The sequence below is a fragment of the Homo sapiens genome, chromosome 6 (assembly GCF_000001405.40).
Source record: "Homo sapiens chromosome 6, GRCh38.p14 Primary Assembly".
Classification (NCBI taxonomy): Eukaryota; Metazoa; Chordata; class Mammalia; order Primates; family Hominidae; genus Homo; species Homo sapiens.
This window is the reverse complement of record NC_000006.12, coordinates 20,587,457-20,610,245: the sequence shown is the minus strand read 5'-3', so window position 1 is coordinate 20,610,245 and position 22,789 is coordinate 20,587,457. Positions and strand designations below refer to the sequence as shown.

Here is a 22,789-nt window from a genome sequence, read left to right as displayed (position 1 = left end):
AAGTGTATATTCTTTGTAGCACTATTCACAATAGCAAAGACACGGAATCAACCTAAATGTCCATCAATGGGAGACTGAATAAAGAAAATGTGGTATATACACACCATGGAATACTACACAGCCCTAAAAAAGAATGAGATCATGTCCTTTGCAGGGACATGGATGGAGATGGAGGCCATTATCCTTAGCAAACTTGACACAGGAACAGAAAACCAAATACTGCATGTTCTCTTATAAGTGGGAGCTAAATGATGAGAACACATGGACACATAGAGGGGAACAACGCACACTGGGGCTTATTAGAGGATGGAGGGCAGGAGGAGGGAGACGATCAGGAAAAATAACTAACGGATACTGGGCTTAATACCTGTGATGAAGTAATCTGTACAACGAACCCTCATGACACAAGTTTACCTATGTAACAAACCTGCACTTGTACCCCTGAAGTAAAAATAAAAGTTAAAAGAAAATAAAATTTTCCAAAGATAAACCTCTAGAAAAAGGAAAAATCATATATACCATGCTTCATTTAGCAGAATATGGTCCCAATATTAAGGAGAACATTAAGATGAATAATAATAATAAACTTTGGGAGGCCAAGGTGGGCAGATCACTTGAAGTCAGGAATTTGAGACCAGCCTGAACAACATGGTGAAACCCCATCTCTACTAAAAATACAAAAATTAGCTGGGCGTGGTGGTGCACACCTGTAATCCTAGCTACTCGGGAGGCTGAGGCAGGAGAATCACTTGAACCTGGGAGACGGAGGCTGCAGTGAGTCGAGACTGTGCCACTGCATTCTAGCCTGGGTGACAGAGTGAGATTCCATCTCAAAAAAAAAAAAGAAGAAGAAGAAGAAGAAGAAGAAGAAGGAGAAGGAGAAGAAGGGAGGAGAAGGAGGGAAAAGAGAGGGAGGAGGGAGAGAGGAGGGGGGAGGAGGAGGAGGAGAAGGAGAAGAAGGAGAAGGAGGAGAAGGAGGAGGAAGGAAGGAGGAAGAAGAAGGAAGGAAGAAGGAAGAAAGAAGAAGAAAATAAAAAGGTGCTCCAAGAGTCCAGGTGGAAATCGAAAAATACATACTTGCTGCCAGCACACACACAGATAAGAGGTCTGTTTTGAAAAACCCAATGTCCCTCCAAGGCCAGTTATTCTGCTATATTCCCATATGTGCAGTCCAAAGCATTCGTAACACAGATAAAGACACAGACATGAAATCAATGATAAATGTCTAATAACTTCATGCTTAACTTTATTAGTACAATACTCTCCCAAATCCATAAAAAGCCTATGAAGAAAATCATTCCTGTAAAGGTTTTGCCTCATTGTGAAAAGACCTTTACCAACTCTTATTATGCCAGCTGCAGTCACAAACCACAAACACCAATAGTTTGAGAGCCTTAAAAACAAAGCATATCATGCAAATCTTTTTAATAACTTAATTATGTGTTATTTAATTTTATAACACATCACCCTTGCTAAGAGTAGAGAAAGATGCCGAACAAGCATTATCATGTTCTTTCCTGACCTGGTTCCCCAAGGTAGCACTACCTCCAATTGTTTGACTACACCAGTTGTAAAGGATTTGACTGCGGGCAACTTCAGACATATTCGCATTTATCCCATGCTCACAAACTCAAAAATAATTGGCTTCCTCTCTACTGGTATCAGCCATAGTTTTAACAGATGGTGCTGCTAAATGAGGAAGGTATGGTACTGAATACAACTCATGACTAACCATATGTCAGCAACAAAATAGTGTCCTCGTCAAGGATATAACACTGGGTTTTATTTACTTGTTTATTTTTGCATAGAGGAGAACATACTACAATGCAGTTATACAAAGTCACACTCACTTAGAACTGGAAAGAAACCTAAAAAGTACTAAAAAGTAGTAGATTTTCAATTTCTTAAATTTTCAATTTCCTTAAGTATACAAACTATATATAGATAACTTGTGTACTTTATATATATATAAATTACACATGTACCAATTTCACTCTCATAATCAATGAAAATATATTTTTATTAGTTCAAAAACTTTCTCAACTTTGGCTGTATACTTCAGACATTACCAAGGATAATAATGCTGTTTATATGACAGACACTAAACTTCTTTCCTCAGTAAACTTCTATGTACCCAAATGGTGATAACTTTAGAGTTTACTATGCATATGTTAATTTATTTCAGGAACAGCAGAACACACTCAGATGTAAGTACCCTGAGCTATTGCTGTATTTATTAAGAGTTACCTTGGGCTGGGTGCAGTGGCTCATGTCTGTAATCCCAGCACTCTGGGAGGCCAAGGCAGGTGGATCACTTGAGGTCAGGAGTTCAAGACCAACCTGGCCAACATGGTGAAACCCCATCTCTACTAAAAATACAAAAATTAGTCAGGTGTGGTGGCACATGCCTCTAGTCCCAGCTACTCAGGAGGCTGAGGCAGGAGAATTGCTTGAACCTGGGAGGCGGAGGTTGCAGTGAGCTGAGATCGCACCACTGCACTCCAGCCTAGGCAAAAGAGTGAGACTTGTTCAAAAGAAAAAAAAAAGAAAAAAGAAAAAAGCTATCTCATTATTTTACATTCTTAATGACACAACAGCAACGGGTTTAAACAAACAAACAAAAATAAATAAATAGAGGAACTGACTGTATTCTATTCCTATAAATCCCCACCAAGAAAAAATGGTAAATATCGGTAGCCACCACTCCCTCTCCTGATAACTCTGTTTTTATAGTGTTATTTAAATTGTTCTTTAGGGTCACATGATTTTATTTGGGAAAAAGGTCCTCTGAATCTTTTTTCTAATATTTACATTGTGACTCCAGATGCCAACTGATATAAAAATCTATGATAGTCTATGAATAATTTAAAAGAATGTGTAATTAATTAAAATATGCACTTAAAATTATGTAACTATTTTATTTAGAAACACGTATGGCTTTTCAACAAAATGACTGTGGTTATTTCAACAGAAATTACTGTAGTCAGAATAATGGGGAAAACACAACACCTAGGTTAGACAAGTTTCCCTTTTCCTGTTAATTTGGTGACCAGAAGAAACTACTTCTAAAAACTACTTTACGTTCTTTCTTTTTTGCCCTTTTACTCAAGGAAAGAAATCTCCACCTACTACCTTCAGAAAAAGCAGCCCATGTGTGTGATGAGGTGTTAATACTTGCCTAGCAGTCAAAGACCCAGCCATAATCCCTGCTTACTACCAGTGACCTTAAGTCAACTACCTAAACCCTATAAGCCTGAAAATCTTCATCTTTAAAATGAGATTAACACCACATACCTCACAGGATTTGTCAGAAGGACAAGATGAGATAACATATGTAAACCACCTGGTCTAGAGTGAAGCAAAAGGAAGCTCAATAAATAAAACCTCAATGCAGAAGACTCACACAAATAGCCAGAATGTCCATCAAAAACGCATTGGCAGACAGTTTTGCAATTTTCACCCTGAATTGAAATAGATTTTACGAAGCATCTCATGAAAGTTAGTTTTCTTTCCCATTTCACATCCAACTTTTCTGCAGCATTTTAGGATCAACTCGTTCAGCCTGATAAATTTTCTAACACGCATTAAGATGATCTCAAATCAATAAAAAACAAACACAGAAACATATCCTTAAAACAAGACCTTAGGAATACTGTGCTTCAAAAGCTACTCTTTTGATTCTTCACTTTTCTCACCCTGTATTTATTTAAAAATGATTCTTTTGGTGTTGAGATAAACTCTACTCCCGGACTTCTCAATTACCTTCTTGAAATTCTACACATTCAGCTTCTCTATGGACACAAACCTGCAGAAGCAATCCGGCCGACCTTAACTGTTCTCTTCTCTATGTTCTACTATTTAATAAGGAGAAAATCTAGAGGGAAACAAATCTTCAATAAAACAAAGTATCTTGCTGTGATTAAGAAGTGATTCTAAATAACTAACAACAGGCTCTCACGCAGAAAAATTTTTTTAACTTTCTAAATAATGTTTCTTCTGTTTAATCTTATCCAATTCAATGTTATATAAATATATGGTCTCAGAAATAACATTAACATTAAAAGCTTCCACATGAAACGACCAAAAAACAGGCCGAACATATAAAACAATAATTTTTCAAGACATTGAACATAACACAATGCAGAACAGTGACCCCTGAGAGACGGAAAACAAATGAAGTGGGCCCTACAATTGCCCCAGCTTACTGCTTTGTCAGTTTCCAGACTTGGCTGCAGTTGTGCAAGGCAGTCAGTCCAGAAGACTCTGCACTAAGACAGAGTTAAGAATTTGAGGAAATCAAGGCTTGCTAGAGTTTGTAAGACAGAGTACTTGAGAGGAGTAATTACAGTACTCAGCTGAGCATTGACCAGTGCATGTATGTGAGGAAACCAACCAAAGCTGGGGAAAGAATGACCTCAAAAGAATGGAGTAACGGCGCCCAGAGCTGACTCAGTACTGGGGATAATGCCTGTTCTTACCAGCCAGTCATGAAAATTTCACGACTGATGGGGCACTGAGTAAAGCACACAGAAGGATCTTGCCTCAGTAGCAGGGAATAATTAGCCCTTGACTGAGCATGGCTCCAGTCATGCTGAACAGAACCAACCTGTTTCCAAGTAATTTAACTGCATCCAGAACAAAGCTCAAAAATATTTATAAGAACACAAAAATATCCAGCAACCAAAAAGGTAAAATTTACAATGTTTAGCATCTTATCAAAAAGTACCAGGCATGTAAAAAATAAGAAAAAGGAATCCCATAATGAGAAGAAAAATTGGAGAATAAGAACTGACCCAGAATTGGCACAGATGTTAGAATAGATAAATCATTAAAAAGTTATTATAACCATTATTAGTGTACCCAAAAATTAAGCATAGAACTCGAGGATATTAAAAAGAAGACCCAGATCAAAGCTCCAGAGATGAAACAACCTCAGCTGCTCTGAGTTCTTTACCTGGTGGAGTGACCCAAACCTTCCTTCTTGAAATATTTGAGCCATTAATCATCCTGCCCTTTTTTGGCTGGTATTATTTTCTATTAACCTTCACTGTTGGGGATGGAAGTACTAAGAGGTGCCCAGAGAATCCCCTGAATTTCAGATATTGTCTCTTTGACTGCAGTGTATCAAATCCCCAATTTCCCCTTGGTTATCAGTATCAATTACTCCAGTGACTAAATTAGCTCCTCTTTCTGAGTATTTGCTCAGTAGTGTAAGGACTGCAAAATGGCCAAGAAGCAGCCCCATCTTCCAATCTCATAGAACCACTGTTGTATCCTCTAGTGGAAACACTATCCCCTTGAAGTCCAAGGTCTCCAAACCAGAGCTCAGCAAAGCTCAGTATTTCCAAGAAAGGAAATAAAAGATCTGCAAGTGAGTTACTAGGTGTAACAATGAGCAAAGCTACTCTCACTTACCCCTTGAATCCCAGAGTCAAAGAGACAGCACATGTATTGGTCACAGATTCAAATTGTATACTACATCTTGTAAAACAGAACCCCATCCTTTCATGGTACTGCCTTTCAATTAGCATTAGGAGTATTCAGTAAGCCATTCTACCTTTCAATTAGGCTAGCCACTTTCAGATCACGGGGTATGGGGCAAGACCAGTTAATTCCAAGAGCACGAGCCCATAGCCGCACCTTCTTTGCTAGAGAAGGAATTCTTGATCAGAAGCAATACAATGCAGAATGCCCTAACAGTGAATAAAGTTTTATGTGAGTCTACAGATGGTGGTGCTGGCAGAAGCATTATAGGTAGAGAAAGCAAATCCATATGCAGAATATGCTACTAGCCCTGTGAGAATATATCTTTGCCCCCTCCATGATGGAAGAGGTCCAATATAATCAACCACTAGCAGATGGCTGGCTGGTTCCTCAGTGAATGGTGCCATATCAGGGACTCAATGTTGGACTCTGCAGTTGGCTGATTAGGCACTCAGCAATAACAGTAGCCAATCAGTCTTGTAAAGGGAAAGACCTTATTGTTGAACCCATGAAGAGCTCCCAACCCTGCCAATATAGCCACCTTTTCATGGGTCCACTGAGCAAGCCCTAATGTGGGTGAATAAAAGGCTGACTGACATGCACACAGCACGTTGTTCTGTCCAGCTCACTAGCAAGTATCCTTTGCAGTAGATGCCCTTTAACAGGCATTCACATGGCACTCAATTTTCACAGTTTGTGGACATTCAGAGAGGTCTATCCACACACCTCTTCCCTAGACTTCCTTGTCACCAGTCTTCACATCCTGTTTGTTCCAGGTCTCTGACCACCAAGATAAAACATTAGCAACTATACAAAAATTAGCCGGGCGTGGTGGCAAGCGCCTGTAATCCCAGCTATCTGGGAGGCTGAGGCTGGAGAATCGCTTGAACCCGGGAGGTGGAGGTTGCAGTGAGCCGGTATCACACCACTGCACTCCAGCCTGGGTGACTAAGCTAGACTCCGTCTCAAAAAAAAAAAAAAAAAAAAAAAAAATTTAGCAACTGCCCATTAATCAATGTAGATCTTTGTCCCTGGCCATCTCCTACTGCAGACATAGTAGGCAACAAAATATAATGCACAGAAGTTCTGTCCACTGGGAAGATCTTCCTTCACCATTGTCCTTCATGGTGAGTCTTTTGTGGGGCTTTAGTGTTTCCGTGTCTGCTTCTGAGTAACACTTGCATATCATCCAGACCCACTTATAAACTAGGCTCAAATTTTCTTCTTCACTCAAATGGTCCATAAGGAACATCCCAGGAGACCATACACATGGAGTGAAGGAGTGGAAGCAATGGAACAGAAGTTGGTATCAAAGGAGTCTGAGCCACCAGCTCGTTTAACTTACTTATATTATCTGGACCTGCCCAACCTTGGTCTCTTATATACCATTTTCACTTAATAACAGATAGCTGCTGCTTGTTCCCAACCTATGGCTAAACAGGTCAGACAACAGCCAATTCATGATGGGAAACTCAGCCACATGGTCACCTGAGATCTCATGAGTAGGTGTTCAGTCTCTAGCAAAGTCAAAAGCCAGGAACTGTTTCTCAAAAGAAGAATCATTATCAGCAGAGAGGGCACAAATTTGCTCTAAAATCCTAGAGGTCTGCACGGTGATTCTTTTATTGGTACTTGCCAGAACCAAATAATACACAGAAAAAGAAAAAGTAGAAGAGGAAGAAAAATCACTGAATAAACCTTTGCTCACAGTATCCTCCTTGTTTCCGAACTCAGTGGGAACAAGCAGATTCCACTCCCTACATCTATACCCTTCTGAGATTTAATCAGTATGACAGGACTAGAGTCCTAATCAATAAGGAGACCCAAAACAAAAATTACCAGTGAGTTTTTCATCCTCACACTGAGAAACTGGATGTGACCATCTTCTTCAGATGAGAAAAGCATACAATGAATATGGTTAAAAGGAATTAGAGGCCACAGTGGGTAAGAAGAATAAAGAATGCCTCACTGCTCCAAACCCAGCCCAGAAAACTGATATCCCAGGGAATCAAAGAACAACCAAGTGAGGCTGCTGAATCAGTAAGTAAGTAACCTCTGAGGAATCATGGAGAAAGAAGAAAATATGGAAAGGCAAGAGGTAGGCAAGTGTTCCAACTTCCCAAGGAAAGGTAAATCAGGTAACCTGTTCATCTACCATCAATCCTCAAAAGACTATAATTATGCCATTTTCAGGATGGTTGATAAACCACTAACCACGACGTAAAAGCCTAAAATCCTGAGGACCAAATAATAGCAAGCAATAATAGCAAGCTAACCCCATTCCTCCCTAAGGGCTGAGAGACTATCCAGAATAAACTTGACATGAAGGAGTCCAATCCCTTGAAATCTGGGGTGAGATTCAATTAGCTGATTTTCATATTATAATGAAAAGAAAAATTTTCTTAGAAAAAGAGGGAAAAAACTTAAATTCCAGTAGTCACTGGACATGAGAGCTGACAAGGGCTTTGGATCTGTTCAAAGACCTTCCCTTATATGCTGACTGATAAATAAAGGGAAGCAGAATGGGATATGGTAGGAGTTCAAATATGTGCCCCCATACTGAGTAGATAAGTATCTTTAGCAAATTACTTCACCTATTTAAGACTTGGTTTTTGCATCTACAAAATAGTATTATAATACTGCTATCTACCTCAGAGAACTCTGTGGAGATTACATGTAAGTACCCATGAAGCTCTTTGCACAGTGTCCCTTACACAGCAAGTTCTCAATGTTATATTAGCTACTATTATTAACTGTCAGCAGACCAAGTCTTCAGCAGAATCGTGAAATAAACTTTTCATTAGGTCTTCCTACCTCCTTTCTCAATCATACATAACCATCTAGCAAGCCAATAACAACTACTGTATGTATAACAAATAAACATGGAAAGAGAATAATGCAGAAGAAGGCATTAGGTTGAATAAATATGATCTGGATTCTAGGCTGCCAGTAACTCATTCAATGGCTTCACACACATCTCCCAATCTCTGCGGGCCTCGGTTATTTTAGCTATAAAACAAATTTGAGTTAAATATTGCAAATTCTTTTCTCATCTGCAATTCTACAATGCAATGAAATAATCATACACGGATTTTTAAAGTTCTGTGTAATTAGTATACCTATGCTTGGTCCTTCCAGATTCTTGCTCATCTCATCAACTTCATCCTCATCAACTACCAGCACGCTAACAGAGGAGAGGCTCTGAGAGTGCTGAATCCCCTCCTCTCCAAGAAAAAATGTAAGTCAATTCTCAGTTTATTTTTCTTCCTTATATCCATTAAATTCAAAACTTTAATCACTACTTACCATTCCCATGCCCACAAGAAAAACTTTTGTTAAAACTTAACAACAAAAAACTTAAACACTAGTTCTGAATTAAAAATGTGTTATCCTCAAAGTCAAGCATTAATATATCTAAAAGAAAAAATAAGAATCACTATCATCTGTACTAGATGGACACCAAGTTGTGCTGCCCCAGTAATCAATGACATTGGATGAAGCTATAATTAACTCAAAATTAAATAAGTTACCCTATTTGCATTTAATTATGTGTTTCTGATCTTTCTCAGAGGTATTGAGACTTTTATAATCATGTACAAGGCATTCGTCAATAACACTGATTTTCTCAGTAATCTGACCTAAGTATGGGCCACAGAGAGAGCGAGGAAGAAAGAAAACTGAAGATTTAGCAATGCCATCCAGAGGAAACTGCCAATTCCCTCAGGGGATCCGGGATCAATCTGAGTAAATACATGACTGTTTCTCATTCAGCACTCAGAACTTGGTAACAAAAACATGCCAGACTTGATAGTGGCATGCCTCATTTCATATAATTCTCATCCTAATCTAATATTGTACATAGAGTGAATTATATAAATCTAATACATTAAATACACTAAGGGTGCTTGCTAGCTAGAAACAATGAATGTATAAATAATATTACAGAATAATTTATCATTCATGTGTGTGTGTGTATATATATATATATATGTATACATATATATCTCTCTCTCCATCCAGGTTTTTTAAATCATCATTAAATATGATCAAGGCAACCAAATCACTATAAATAAAAGTATCATATCTTGAGTATTAATTATCATCTTATTTAAAATCTTATTTTAAAAGGCACAGAGACCACTCATAGGATTAAAAAAAACATTTTAATAGAAACTATTCAAGAACTCATGTTTGTTCAGTCACTACCTCAAAAGTGGTATTTATCCTGAGGTCTTACAAAAAATAATGATTTAAATGAAATTGACAGAATCAAACTGTTCAAATACAGAGGCGTCTTCAAGGGCCTAAAACCCTTCCAATATATTTACAATAGGTTTAACCACAAATGGAAAAAGGTAAAATAAGAGGTGTGCTTTTCCTCAACCTTTGCAAATCTGAGGCAATCACTGTTCTAAAAAGTAATCAACCTTTGTAAATAGCCAAAAACTTCATCTAAAAAGAGATTTATATCAGCTCACTACCCCAATAAATTATTAACACATATACAGTCATGCAATATTTAATAAAAAGAATTGCCAACTCCACATAGCCATTACAAAAAGGACCAAATGATTGAGAAATTATCCATCAGTAGCAGATTAATGGATAAAGGCTACAATAAAGCAAGAGCCAATATAAAGTGCACAAAATTAATATATTTTCTTTCAGAATTATACAACAAATCACAAGCCACAGTACTGCTCCTAAACTATCTAAGTACCAAGCATGATATTCACATAGGGAGGATTTGATACAGCACAGCTGCCAGGATTTGAAACATGTCATCCACCATTTCTAGTATGAAAAGGTAAATTGTCAGACATGTTTCTGACATTCTGACATGATACTACAGCTCATTTCTAGAAATGATTATCAGTAAACCAAATGTGCTTAGATTAACTTTCATCTTGACAATCATACAGTCACACATGCTACCCAAGGAGTTAACATTTTGCTCAGTATACCTTAAGCTATCAAGATGACCAATTTTATGCAAATTTTTATCAACTGTAAATGGAGTTAATAGTCATAGGTCTAGATCCAATATGCAAATTAGATTTGAATACCTAACACAGGCTTATCCTGAGAACACTGCCTACCACACGACCTTTTTATTTGGTATACACTGTAAACTTTCATATCCACAGAATTTGAACTCTTAACAATACACAAAGCTAAATGAGCCAAGTCATTATGCAAATTTTGCCAAAACTCCTTTGAGAAACACAAATAAAAAATACAGGTGGTAATATTTGCATAAAGCACCCAGTGTTTGCATGAATGAGTAAGTTTGCATAGCATGGGTCAAACAAAAACAGTTCCAGAAAGAGTAGGTCTTCTCCAGGAACTTTCTACTTTGAAGACGAAGCAAACGTACACTCAACCTGAAATAACTGGAGAGAGACATGTAATTAAATTATTTTATTTCCAAGTATAACAATAATGCAACTTTATTCTTTACAAGTTATTATCTGACATCTAACACTTATTATCTATTACTTAATATCTCTGGATTTATACTTTTTAAAATGTGATAAAAGAAAAAACTTATAATATGTACGTATATCTACTTGCATTTGTATAAACTCTGGAAGGATATGCAAGAAACTAATGTTTTTACCTGGAGATTATAGGAGAACCAAGCAAATAAGGAATCCAGACAGGAAAAAAACTTTTGCCTTTATATTTTGGGTATTTTGAACTATGTAAAGATATGACCCACTTTAAAAATCAAATTATAAAAATATAAATAAAATGATATAACAATACACCACAGTAGCAGAAAAGACTTTTATATTAACTTTAGAAATTTAAAATAAAATTGTAACATTCCAACAAACTACAATTAAATTTAGGCCGACTAAAAAGCATTAAAGATATTTTATAATTAAAATTTCATAATAAAATAACTCAGTAAGTTTTTTTGTTACATACAAAATCCCCATAGAACAAAAGCAAAAACGCCAATGTTTAAGCATATGAAAAATAAATGTCCCCTTTCATCTTCCAGAGGCAGAAATCTTATAGCATGTAGTAAATCTATTTTAATTACCTTCATTCTAAATGCTAAAAACTAATTAATTATTAAGAGCTGATAAAATTAGCTACTTGAAATGTTTAATTTGATCCTCGTTTCATATGTATATTTTAATGAACACAATAGATATCTCTCAATAGGCCATCATTTATGAATTTAAAACATGTGTCTATGCTCAAGATGGGAGGTCATGTCATTAAGGACTTGCTTTTTAGCAAGATGTGTCAGATATGTATCGTATGCCATACTTCATGTAAAAGTCCAGTGTATTCTCTCTTCCAAAATGGCTGTAACCTATTTTTCAATCACCACTACACAGTCCTCAAAATCAATGTGAAGCTCAGTAAGCTAAGGTTTCCATTTAGAAACAAAAATTGGTATGTAATATTAACAAAAGTAAATATTCATACAAAACTAGCCCACACCAAAGCTTTCCCTAGACTCCAAATTATTCCAGTGATTTTTCTAACTATAACCATCACAAATATAAGAATGTAAGGAAATGCAACTTCAGGTTTCTTACAGTACTTCTGGAACTCTTGTAACCCTCCAATGCTTTACAGCTTTCCGTGGCTCCCATGCCATCACTATAAAATGAAAGGACTGCAGTTCCTATTACAGCACTATCATGTCCGCACTATAACTCCAGCTGCCATAACCACCTCACAACAGATATTAATGGACAGAGAGGAGGGAATAACAGGAGATAAAAGAGAGAGAAAATGTTGGCTCAGCACTCACATCCTTTTTTAACACTCAGTAGTGGAAACTTAATGATCACCACCACGTTTCTCTCACGGTCTGCAATTAAGAAAGACATTTATTTCAATCGTGTCTAAAGCCCTGAATCCCAAGAGTTCCTCCTTTTAGAAACTCTCTAGATATCAATTTAGCAGGATACAGTTAAATATTACAATAGATTAAACAAAAAGGAAAATGGGTATCCGGCAGGGTTTTCAGGAGAGAAAATTATAAAAACTGAACTACAACTACTATTAATAAAATTATGGGGCTGTGTGTGATGGCTCACGCCTGTAATCCCAGCACTTTGGGAGGCCGAGGCAGGTGGATTGCTTGAGGCCAGGAGTTTGAGACCAGCCTGGCCAACATAGTGAAACCCTGTCTCTACTGAAAATACAAAAACTGGCCGGGCATGGTGGTGCACACCTGTAATCCCAGCTATTCAGGAAGCTGAGGCATGAGAATCACTTGAACCTGTGAGGCAGAGGTTGCAGTGAGCCAATATTATGCCACTGCACTCCAGCCTGGTTCAAAGAGTGAGACTCTGCCTCAAAAAAATAAAAAATGGTGGCTCATGCCTGTAATCCCAGCACTTTGGGAGGCTGAGGTGGGCGGATCGTGAGATCAGGAGATCAAGACCAATATGGCTAACACGGTGAAACCCCGTCTCTACCAAAAATACAAAAAATTAGCAAGGCGTGGTGGCAGGCGCCTGTAGTCCCAGCTACTCGGGAGGCTGAGGCAGGAGAATGGCATGAACTCAGGAGGCAGAGGTTGCAGTGAGTTGAGATCACACCACTGCACTCCAGCCTGGGCGACAAAGCGAGACTCCGTCTGAAAAAATAAAAATAAAAATAAATAAAAAATAAAAATAAAGGGGTGGCTGGCAAGATGGCCAAATAGGAACAGCTCTGGTCTGCAGCTCCCAGCCAGATCAACACAGAAGGCGGGTGATTTCTGCGTTTCCAACTGAGGTGCCAGGCTCATCTCAACGGGCCTGGTTAGACAGTGGGGGCAGCCCATGGGGGGCAAGCCGAAGCAGGGCGGGGCGTTGCCTCACCTGGGAAGCACAAGGCATCGAGGAACTCCCTCCCCTAGCCAAGGGAAGCCGTGAGGGACTGTGCCTAGAGGAACAGTGCACTTCAGCCCAGATACTACACTTTTCCCATGGTCTTCACAATCCCTCGGGTGCCTACACCACCAGGGCCCTGGGTTTCAACCACAAAACTGGGCAGCCATTCAGACACTGAGCTAGCTGCAGGAGTTTTTCTACATACCCTAGTGGCGCCTAGAATGCAAGCGAGAAAGAACCATTCACTCTCCTGGAAAGGGGGCTGAAGCCAGGGAGCCAAGTAGTCTAGCTCAGCAGATCCCACTCCCACAGAGCCCAGCAAGCTAAGATCTACTGGCTTGAAATTCGCACTGCCAGCACAGCAGTCTGAAGTTGACCTGGGACACTCAAGCTTGGTGTGGGGAGGGATGTCCACCATTACTGAGGCTTGAGTAGGCGGTTTTCCCCTCACAGTGTAAACAAAACTGCCAGGAAGTTTGAACTGGGCAGAGCCCACCACAGCTCGGCAAAGCCGCTGTAGCCAGACTGCCTCTCTAGATTCCTCCTCGCTGGGGAGGGCATCTCTGAAAGAAAGTCAACAGCCCCAGTCAGAGGCTTATAGATAAAACTCCCATCTCCCTGGGACAGAGCACCTGGGGGAAGGGGCAGCTGTGGGCACAGCTTCAGCAGACTTAAACATTCCTGCCTGCCGGCTCTGAAGAGGGCAGCAGATCTCCCAGAACAGTGCTCAAATTCTGCTAAGGGACAGGACTGCCTCCTCAAGTGGGTCCCTGATCCTCGTGCCTCCTGGCTTGGAGACACCTCCCAGAAGGGGTTGACAGACACCTCATACAGGAGAGCTCCGGCTGGCATCTGGCAGACGAAGTTTCCAGAGGAAGTAACAGGCAGCAATCTTTGCTGTTCGGCAGCCTCTGCTGGTCATACCCAGGTAAACAGGGTCTGGAGTGGACCTCCAGCAAACTCCACCAGCCCTGCAGCAGAGGGTCCTGACTGTTAGAAGGAAAATTAACAAACAGAAAGGAATAGCATCAACATCAACAAAAAGGACGTCCACTCAGAGACCCCATCCGAAGGTGAACAACATCAAAGACCAAAGGTAGATGAATCCACGAAGATGAGGAAAAACCAGCGCAAAAAGGCTGAAAATTCCAAAAACCAGAATGCCTCTTCTCCAAAGGATCACAACTCCTCGCCAGCAAGGGAACAAAACTGGACAGAGAATGAGTGTGACGAACTGACAGAAGTAGGCTTCAGAAGGTGGGTAATAACAAACTCCTATGAGCTAAAGGAGCATGTTCTAACCCAATGCAAGGAAGCAAAGAACCCTGAAAAAAGGTGAGAGGAATTGCTAACTAGAATAACCAGTTTAGAGAAAAACATAAATGACCTGATGGAGCTGAAAAACACAGCATGAGAATTTCAAGAAGCATTCACAAGTATCAATAGCCAAACGGATCAAGCGGAAGAAAGGATATCAGAGACTAAAGAGACTAAAGATCAACTTAATGAAATAACCCATTATTAGAGAAAAAAGAATGAAAAGGAATGAACAAGGCCTCCAAGAACTATGGGACTATGTGAAAAGACCAAACCTACGTTTGATTGGTGTACCTGAAAGTGATGGGGAGAATGGAACCAAGTTGGAAAACACTCTGCAGGATACTATCCAGGAGAACTTCCCCAACCTAGAAGACATGCCAACATTCAAATTTAGGAAATACAGAGAACACCACAAAGATACTCCTGGAGAAGAGCATCCCCAAGACACATAATCGTCAGATTCACAAAGGTTGAAATCAAGAAAAAAACGTTAAGGGCAGCCAGAGAGAAAGGTCAGGTTACCCACAAAGGGAAGCCCATCAGACTAACAGTGGATTTCTTTGCAGAAACCATACAAGTCAGCAGAGAGTGGCGGCCAATATTCAACATTCTTAAAGAAAAGAATTTTCAACCCAGAATTTCATATCCAGCCAAACTAAGCTTCATAAGTGAAGGAGAAATAAAATCCTTTACAAACAAGCAAATGCTGAGAGATTCCAGGCCTGCCTTACTAGAGTTCCTGAATGAAGCACTAAATATGGAATGGAAAAACCAGTACCAGCCACTGCAAAAACATACCAAATTGTAAAGACCATCAATGCTATGAAGAAATTGCATCAACTAATGGGCAAAATAACCAGCTAGCATCATAATGACAGGATCAAATTCACATATAACAACGCTAACCATAAATGTAAATGGGCTAAATGCCCCAACTAAAAGACACGGACTGGCAAATTGGATAAAGAGTCAAGACCCGTCGGCATGCTGTATTCAGGAGACCCATCTCACATGCAAAGACACACATAGGCTCAAAATAAAGGGATGGAGGAATATTTACCAAGCAAATAGGAAGCAAAAAAAAAGCAGAGGTTGCAATCCTAGTCTCTGATGAACCAGACTTTAAACCAACAAAGATCAAAAGACACAGAGAAAAGGGCATTACATAATGGTAAAGGGATCAACGCAACAAGAAGAGCTAACTAACCTAGATGTATACACACCCAATACAGGAGCGCCCCGATTCACAGAACAAGTTCTTAGAGACCTATAAAGAGATTTACACTCTCACACAATAATAGTGGGAGACTTTAACACCCCACTGTCAACATTAGACAGATCAACAAGACAGAAAATTAACAAGGATATTCAGGACTTGAACTCAGCTCTGGAACAAGCAGACCTAATAGACATCTACAGAACTCTCCACCCCAAATCAACAGAATATACATTCTTCTCAGCACCACATCACACTTACTCTAAAACTGACCACATAATTGGAAGTAAAACACTCCTCAGCAAATGCAAAAGAACAGAAATCATAACAAACAGTCTCTCAGACCACAGTGCAATCAAATTAGAACTCAGGATTAAGAAACTCACTCAAAACCACACAACTACGTGGAAACTGAACAACCTGCTCCTGAATGACTCTGGGTAAATAACAAAATTAAGGCAGAAATGAATAAGTTCTTTGAAACCAATGAGAACAAAGACACAACGTACCAGAATCTCTAAGACACAGATAAAGCAGTGTTTGGAGGGAAATTTATAGCACTAAATGCCCACAGCAGAAAGTGGGAAAGATCTAAAATTGACACCCTAACATCACAATTAAAAGAACTAGAGAAGCAAGAGCAAACAAATTCAAAAGCTAGCAGAAGACAAGAAATAACTAAGATCAGAGCAGAAGTGAAGGAGATAGAGAGACAAATAACCTTTCAAAAAATCAATGAATCCAGGAGCTGGGTTTCTTTTTTTTTTTTTAAAGATTAATGAAATAGACCACCAGCCAAACTAATAAAGAAGAAAAGAGAGAAGAATCGAATAGACGCAATAAAAAATGATAAAGGGGAGATCACCACTGATCCCCCAGAAATACAAACTATCATCAGAGAATACTATAAATATCTCTAAGCAAATAAACTAGAAACTGTAGAAGAAATGGATATATTCCTGGACACATACACCCTCCCAAGACTAAACCAGAAAGAAGTCAAATCCCTGAGCACAGCAATAACAAGTTCTGAAATTGAGGCAGTAATTAATAGCCTACCAACCAAAACAAAGCCCAGGACCACATGGATTCACAGCCGAATTCTACTGGAGGTACAAAGAGGAGCTGGTACCATTCCTTCTGAAACTATTCCAAACAACAGAAAAAGAAGGACTCCTCCCTAACTCATTTTATGAGGCCAGCATCATCCTGATACCAAAACCTGGCAGAGACACAACAAAAAAAGAAAATTTCAGACCAATATCCCTGATGAACATTGATGCAAAAATCCTCAATAAAATACTGGCAAACCAAAACCAGCAGCACATCAAAAAGCTTATCCACCACGATCAAGTCGGCTTCATCCCTGGGATGCAAGGCTGGTTCAACATACGCAAATCAATAGATGTAATCCATCACATAAACAGAACCAATGACAAAAAACACATGATTATCTCAATAGATGCAGAAAAGGCCTTCGATAAAATTCAACACCCCTTCATGCTAAAAACTCTCAATAAACTAGGTATTGATGGAACCTATCTCAAAATAATAAGAGCTACTTATGACAAATCCATAGCCAATACCAAACTGAATGGGCAAAAGCTGAGGCCAAACACAGCGGCTCACACCTGTAATCCCAGCACTTTGGGAAGCCGAGGCGGGTGGATCACACGGTCAGGAGTTCTAGACAGCCCATCCAACATGGTGAATCCCCATCTCTACTAAGGATACAAAAAATTAGCCAGGCATGGTGGCACATGCCTGTGATCCCAGCCACGTGGGAGGCTGAGGCAGGAGAATCGCTTGAACCCAGGAGGTGAAGGTTGCAGTGGGCCGAAATTGCACCATTGCACTCCAGCCTGGGCAACAGGGTGAGACTCTGTCTCAAAAAAAAAAAAAAAAAAGCTGGAAGCATTCCCTTTGAAAAACCACACAAGACAAGGATGCCCTCTCTCACCACTCCTATTCAACATAGTAACATAGTATTAGAAGTTCTGGCCAGGGCAATCAGCCAAGAGAAAGAAATAAAGGGTATTCGAATAGGAAGAGAGGAAGTCAAATTACCTCTGTTTGCAGATGACATGATTGTATATTCAGAAAACCCAAAAACTTCTTAATCTGATAAGCAACTTCAGCAAAGTCTCAGGATACAAAATCAATGTGCAAAAATCATAAGCATTCCTATACACCAATAACAGACAAACAGAAAGCCAAATCAGGAGTGAACTCCCATTCACAATTGCTACAAGGAGAATAAAATACCTAGGAATCCAACTTACAAGGGATGTAAAGGACCTCTTCAAGGAGAACTACAAACCGCTGCTCAAGGAAATAAGAGAGGACACAAACAAATGCAAAAACATTCCATGCTCATGGATAGGAAGAATCAATATCATGAAAATGGCCATACTATCCAAAGTAATTTATAGATTCAATGCTATCTCCATCAAGCTACCATTGACTTTCTTCACACAATTAGAAAAAACTACTTTAAATTTCATCTGGAACCAAAAAAGAGCCCGTATAGCCAAGACAAACCTAAGCAGAAGAACAAAGCTGGAGGCATCAGGCTACCTGACTTCAAACAATACTACAAGGCTACGGTAACCAAAACAGCATGGTACTGGTACCAAAACAGATATATAGACCAACGGAACAGAATAGAGGCCTCAGAAATAATGCCACACATCTACAACCATCTGATCTTTGACAAAGCTCACAAAAACAAGAAATGGGGAAAGGATTCCCTATTTAATAAATGGTGTCGGGAAAACTAGTTAGCCATATGCAAAAAACTGAAACTGGACCCCTAACAGAAACTGGACCCCTTCCTTACACCTTATAGAAAAATTAACTCAAGATGGATTAAAGACTTAAACGTAAGACCTAAAATCATAAAAACCCTAGAATAAAACCTAGGCAATACCATTCAGGACACAGGAATGGGCAAAGACTTCATGACTAAAACACCAAAAGCAATGACAACAAAAGCCAAAATAGACAAATGGGATCTAATTAAACTAAAGAGCTTCTGCACAGCAAAAGAAACTATCATCAGAGTGAACAGGCAACCTACAGAATGGGAGAAAATTTTTGCAATCTATCCATTTAACAAAGGGCTAATATCCAGAATCTACAAAGAACTTAAACAAATATACAAGAAAAAAATAACCCCATCAAAAAGTGGGCGAAGAATATGAACGGACACTTCTCAAAAGAAGACATTTATGTGGTCAACAAACATATGAAAAAAAGCTCATCATCACTGGTCATTGGAGAAATGCAAATCAAAACCACAATGAGATACCATCTCATGCCAGTTAGAATGGCGATCATTAAAAAGTCAGGAAACAACAGATGCCAGAGAGGATGTCGAGAAATAGGAACGCTTTTACACTGTTGATGGGAGTGTAAATTAGTTCAACCATTGTGGAGGACAGTGTGGCAATTCCTCAAGGATCTAGAACCAGAAATACCATTTGACCCAGCAACCCCATTACTCGGTATACACCCAAAGGATTATAAATCATTCTACAATAAAGACAGATGCACATGTATGTTTATTGCAGCACTTTTCACAATAGCAAAAACTAGGAACCAACCCAAATGCCCATCAATGATAGATTGGATAAAGAAAATGTGGCACATATACACCATGGAATACTATACAGCCATAAAAAGGATGAGTTCATGTCCTTTGCAGGGACATGGATGAAGCTGGAAACCATCATTCTCAGCAAACTAACACACGAACAGAAAACCAAACACTGCATGTTCTCACTCATAAGTGGGAGTTGAACAATGAGAACACATGGACACAGGGAGGGGAACATCACACACCGGGGGCTGTTGGGGAGTGGGGGGCTAGGAGAGGGATAGCATTAGGAGAAATACCTAATGTAGATGATGGGTTGATGGGTGCAGCAAACCACCGTGGCACGTGTATACCTATGTTTTGAACAAACCTGCACATTCTGCACATGTATCCCAGAACTTAAAGTATAATAAAATAAATAAAAAATAAAAACAAAAAAATAAAATTATGGTGCCCTTACTCTGTGCATAGTAGGTAATTTGCATATCTAGTCTAGAATCATCATGATGGCCTTATTAGATACAACATAATATAATCTTGTTTTTAAAGATGAAAAATGAGACTGAAAGTAAAGTAACCTGGGGACAGTCATATGACTATCAAATGAAAGAGCAAGAATTAAAACACAGTATTAACAACTGTTAATACTTCATTAATATTAGTACAATACAATAAGCAGCCTACTACTTATATGAGCACTTTTAAGTACCTTAAATATTTTCATTTAAATTCATTTACTACTTATAACTGTCATATGGAATAAGCACTATTATCCTCATTTTATAAATGAGAAAACTGGGGACAAAGAGATGGAACAGCTTTCTCAAAGTCACATGGCAAGCAAAGTGGCTCTTGGACTTACACAGCCTGGTGCCATCACCCAAATTCTTAACCCGTGCACTACCATTTCTCTAATCCTTAAAATAAAGCAATGCAATTTTAAAGTCAGTGTATAACTCTGTGAAACTTTAAACATAAATTTGGACATCATTTTTAGCACTTCACTGAATATGAGAAAAACTAATAATATAAGAAATTTCACTGAAATATGAGAAAAACTAATAATATGAGAAAAACTAATAAAATAATTACAAAAGTACTTTTAGTAGTATGTTCTTTTTCTGAATTCAATCCCACTGATGTGAAGGCCGTCCACTTTCCTAAAGAGCTGAAAGGCACGTAATGAATCATTTTCTAATCAAACAAGAAGTATTACAAGATCCTGGAACGTTCCCTGAGAATACCTACCAAAGGAAACTTGAGAAACAATATTATCAACTATAGAGTTAAAGAAACAGAAATTCTACTTACAAAGCTAAGCCTTTCAATTTCATTGGCTTTCAGCAAGACTAGCGATTGCATCTAAACTCAAACAGGAAGCAATCTGACACTTTCTTCTCAGAACGTGCAGAACATGTGTGTGTAATGTCAAATACAAAATAAAAAGGAAGTAACTAACTGCTTTTTACTAGTGTTTTTACTAACACTGAAGTAAAAACAAGATTAATATGCAAGATTAGTATTTTTTTGTCATTAGTATCTTTTTCTTTACTAGTATCTTTAGTATTTTAATGGTTCTAATCAATGATATCAATGATATCTAGCCTCAACATTCATAATATGTGAATCTGATAACAAAAGGCAAATAAAATTTCTCTGTGTGGCTGCAGATGTTCACGGAGACAGAAAGACCACCAATAATTTCACACAGGACTACATGAATGAAAAATAAGCAAGATATCTCCTTTTTGTAGTGATATTTTTAAATCACCTGAACCAAGACTGTTTGATTCACATAAAACCATAAATGAAAATATTATAAGATTTCAAACTTTCCATTTTATAAAATAAACAAGTATATAATCCTATAAAACAGAAATGGATGGTAGCTAGGCTGGAGACATATTGATTAATTTGAGCTTTCCAGTCTACTCTAAGAAAATAACACATTTTTAGGACTGTAATATCTACAACAGAAACAGCATTAAAATGTAAAATAGATGAGATTATTTTAAAAGGAGGTCTCTAGCTCATTAACTTACTAGAGAAACAGAGTTCGAAAATGATAAAGTTTGAAAGTATAATTTTACTAATGTTGCCTCTTAACTTTTGAAAGACTGCCAAGGATACCTAAGCAAAAAGGAAAAAGATTAATTAAAAAAATCCACCTTAGAGCTACCGAACGTAGGAGTGCTAGAGGGAAAACCTGAAATAGAAAGAAAACTTCAAAGAGATTCTGTAATCGAAGATGCCTTATTCTTGACTGCCTCATCTCAGAGATTAAAGAAGATTTTTAAAGCTGTTCCATGGACATAGAGATCAAACATTTATAAATGTTTATAATTTTACAAGTCCTAAATTCAAAGGTGGGCTCAAAGAAATGAGTAGCGTAGGCTGCTAGAAACAAAGATGAATTTTTGGGTGAGGGAGTCATGTAGAAGGTAGCTTTGAAGAATATACTCTTTGGGTTATAGAGAAGGAAGAGTATTTTTGAAAAGTTCACTCAACATTGAGAACACCTAAATGAACCACAATAAAATGCTAGGGAAAGGGAATCAAGGATCAGCCTTAATTATCTCTACTGGATATTAACAAGTATTAAACCCATCAAATATTCCCACAGCAACAATTTTTTGTTTGGTTGGTTTTTGTGGTGTTTTTGTTTTATTTTGTTTTGTTTTGAGGCAGGGTCTTGCTCTGTCGCCCAGGCTGGAGTGCAGTGGCATGATCTTGCCTCACAGCAACTTCCACCTCCCAGGCTTCAAGCCATCCTCCCACTCAACCTCCTTAGCAGCTGGGACCATAGGTGCATGCCACCATGCCTGGCTAAATTTTTATATTTTTCATAGAAACAGGGTCTCGCTATGTTGCCCAGGCTGGTCTCGAACTCCTGGGCTCAAGCAATCTGCCCAACTTAACCTCCCAAAGTGCTGGGATTACAAGCATGAGCCACAGTACCCAACTTCTGGGGGTTTTTTTTGGTTTTTGGTTCTGGTGTATTGAGTTGGTTTTTTGAGGGGGGCGGTTTGTTTGTTTGTTTGTTTTCAGACAGGGTCTCACTCTGTTGCCCAGGCTGGAGTACAGTGGCATGATCATGGCTCACTGCAGCCTCAAAATCTGGGGCTCAAGAAATCCTGCCATCTCAGCCTCCAGAGTAGCTGGGACTACAGGTGGGCACCACCACACCCAGCTAATTTTTTAATTTTTTGTAAGGATAGGGTCTCACTACGCTGCCCACGCTGGTGGCAAACTCCTGGGCTAAAGCGATCCTCCCACCTCAGCCTCTCAAAGTGCTGGGATTACAAGCATGAGCCACCATGC

The 22,789-nt window shown here is 38.8% G+C and overlaps 1 protein-coding gene and 1 long non-coding RNA gene across 13 annotated transcripts in view; both read right to left on the bottom strand.

The window, feature by feature from the left end:
• CDKAL1 (CDKAL1 threonylcarbamoyladenosine tRNA methylthiotransferase) overlaps positions 1–22,789 on the bottom strand; it is a 697,948-nt gene that overhangs the window by 622,159 nt on the left and 53,000 nt on the right. The gene's annotated exons all lie outside the window — the stretch shown is intronic.
• Positions 9,629–12,556, bottom strand: LOC105374968 (uncharacterized). Its single transcript, XR_926571.2, has 2 exons — positions 12,263–12,556; positions 9,629–10,877 (listed from the first exon to the last, which is right to left on the bottom strand). It is a non-coding gene; the product is annotated as an uncharacterized LOC105374968 (long non-coding RNA).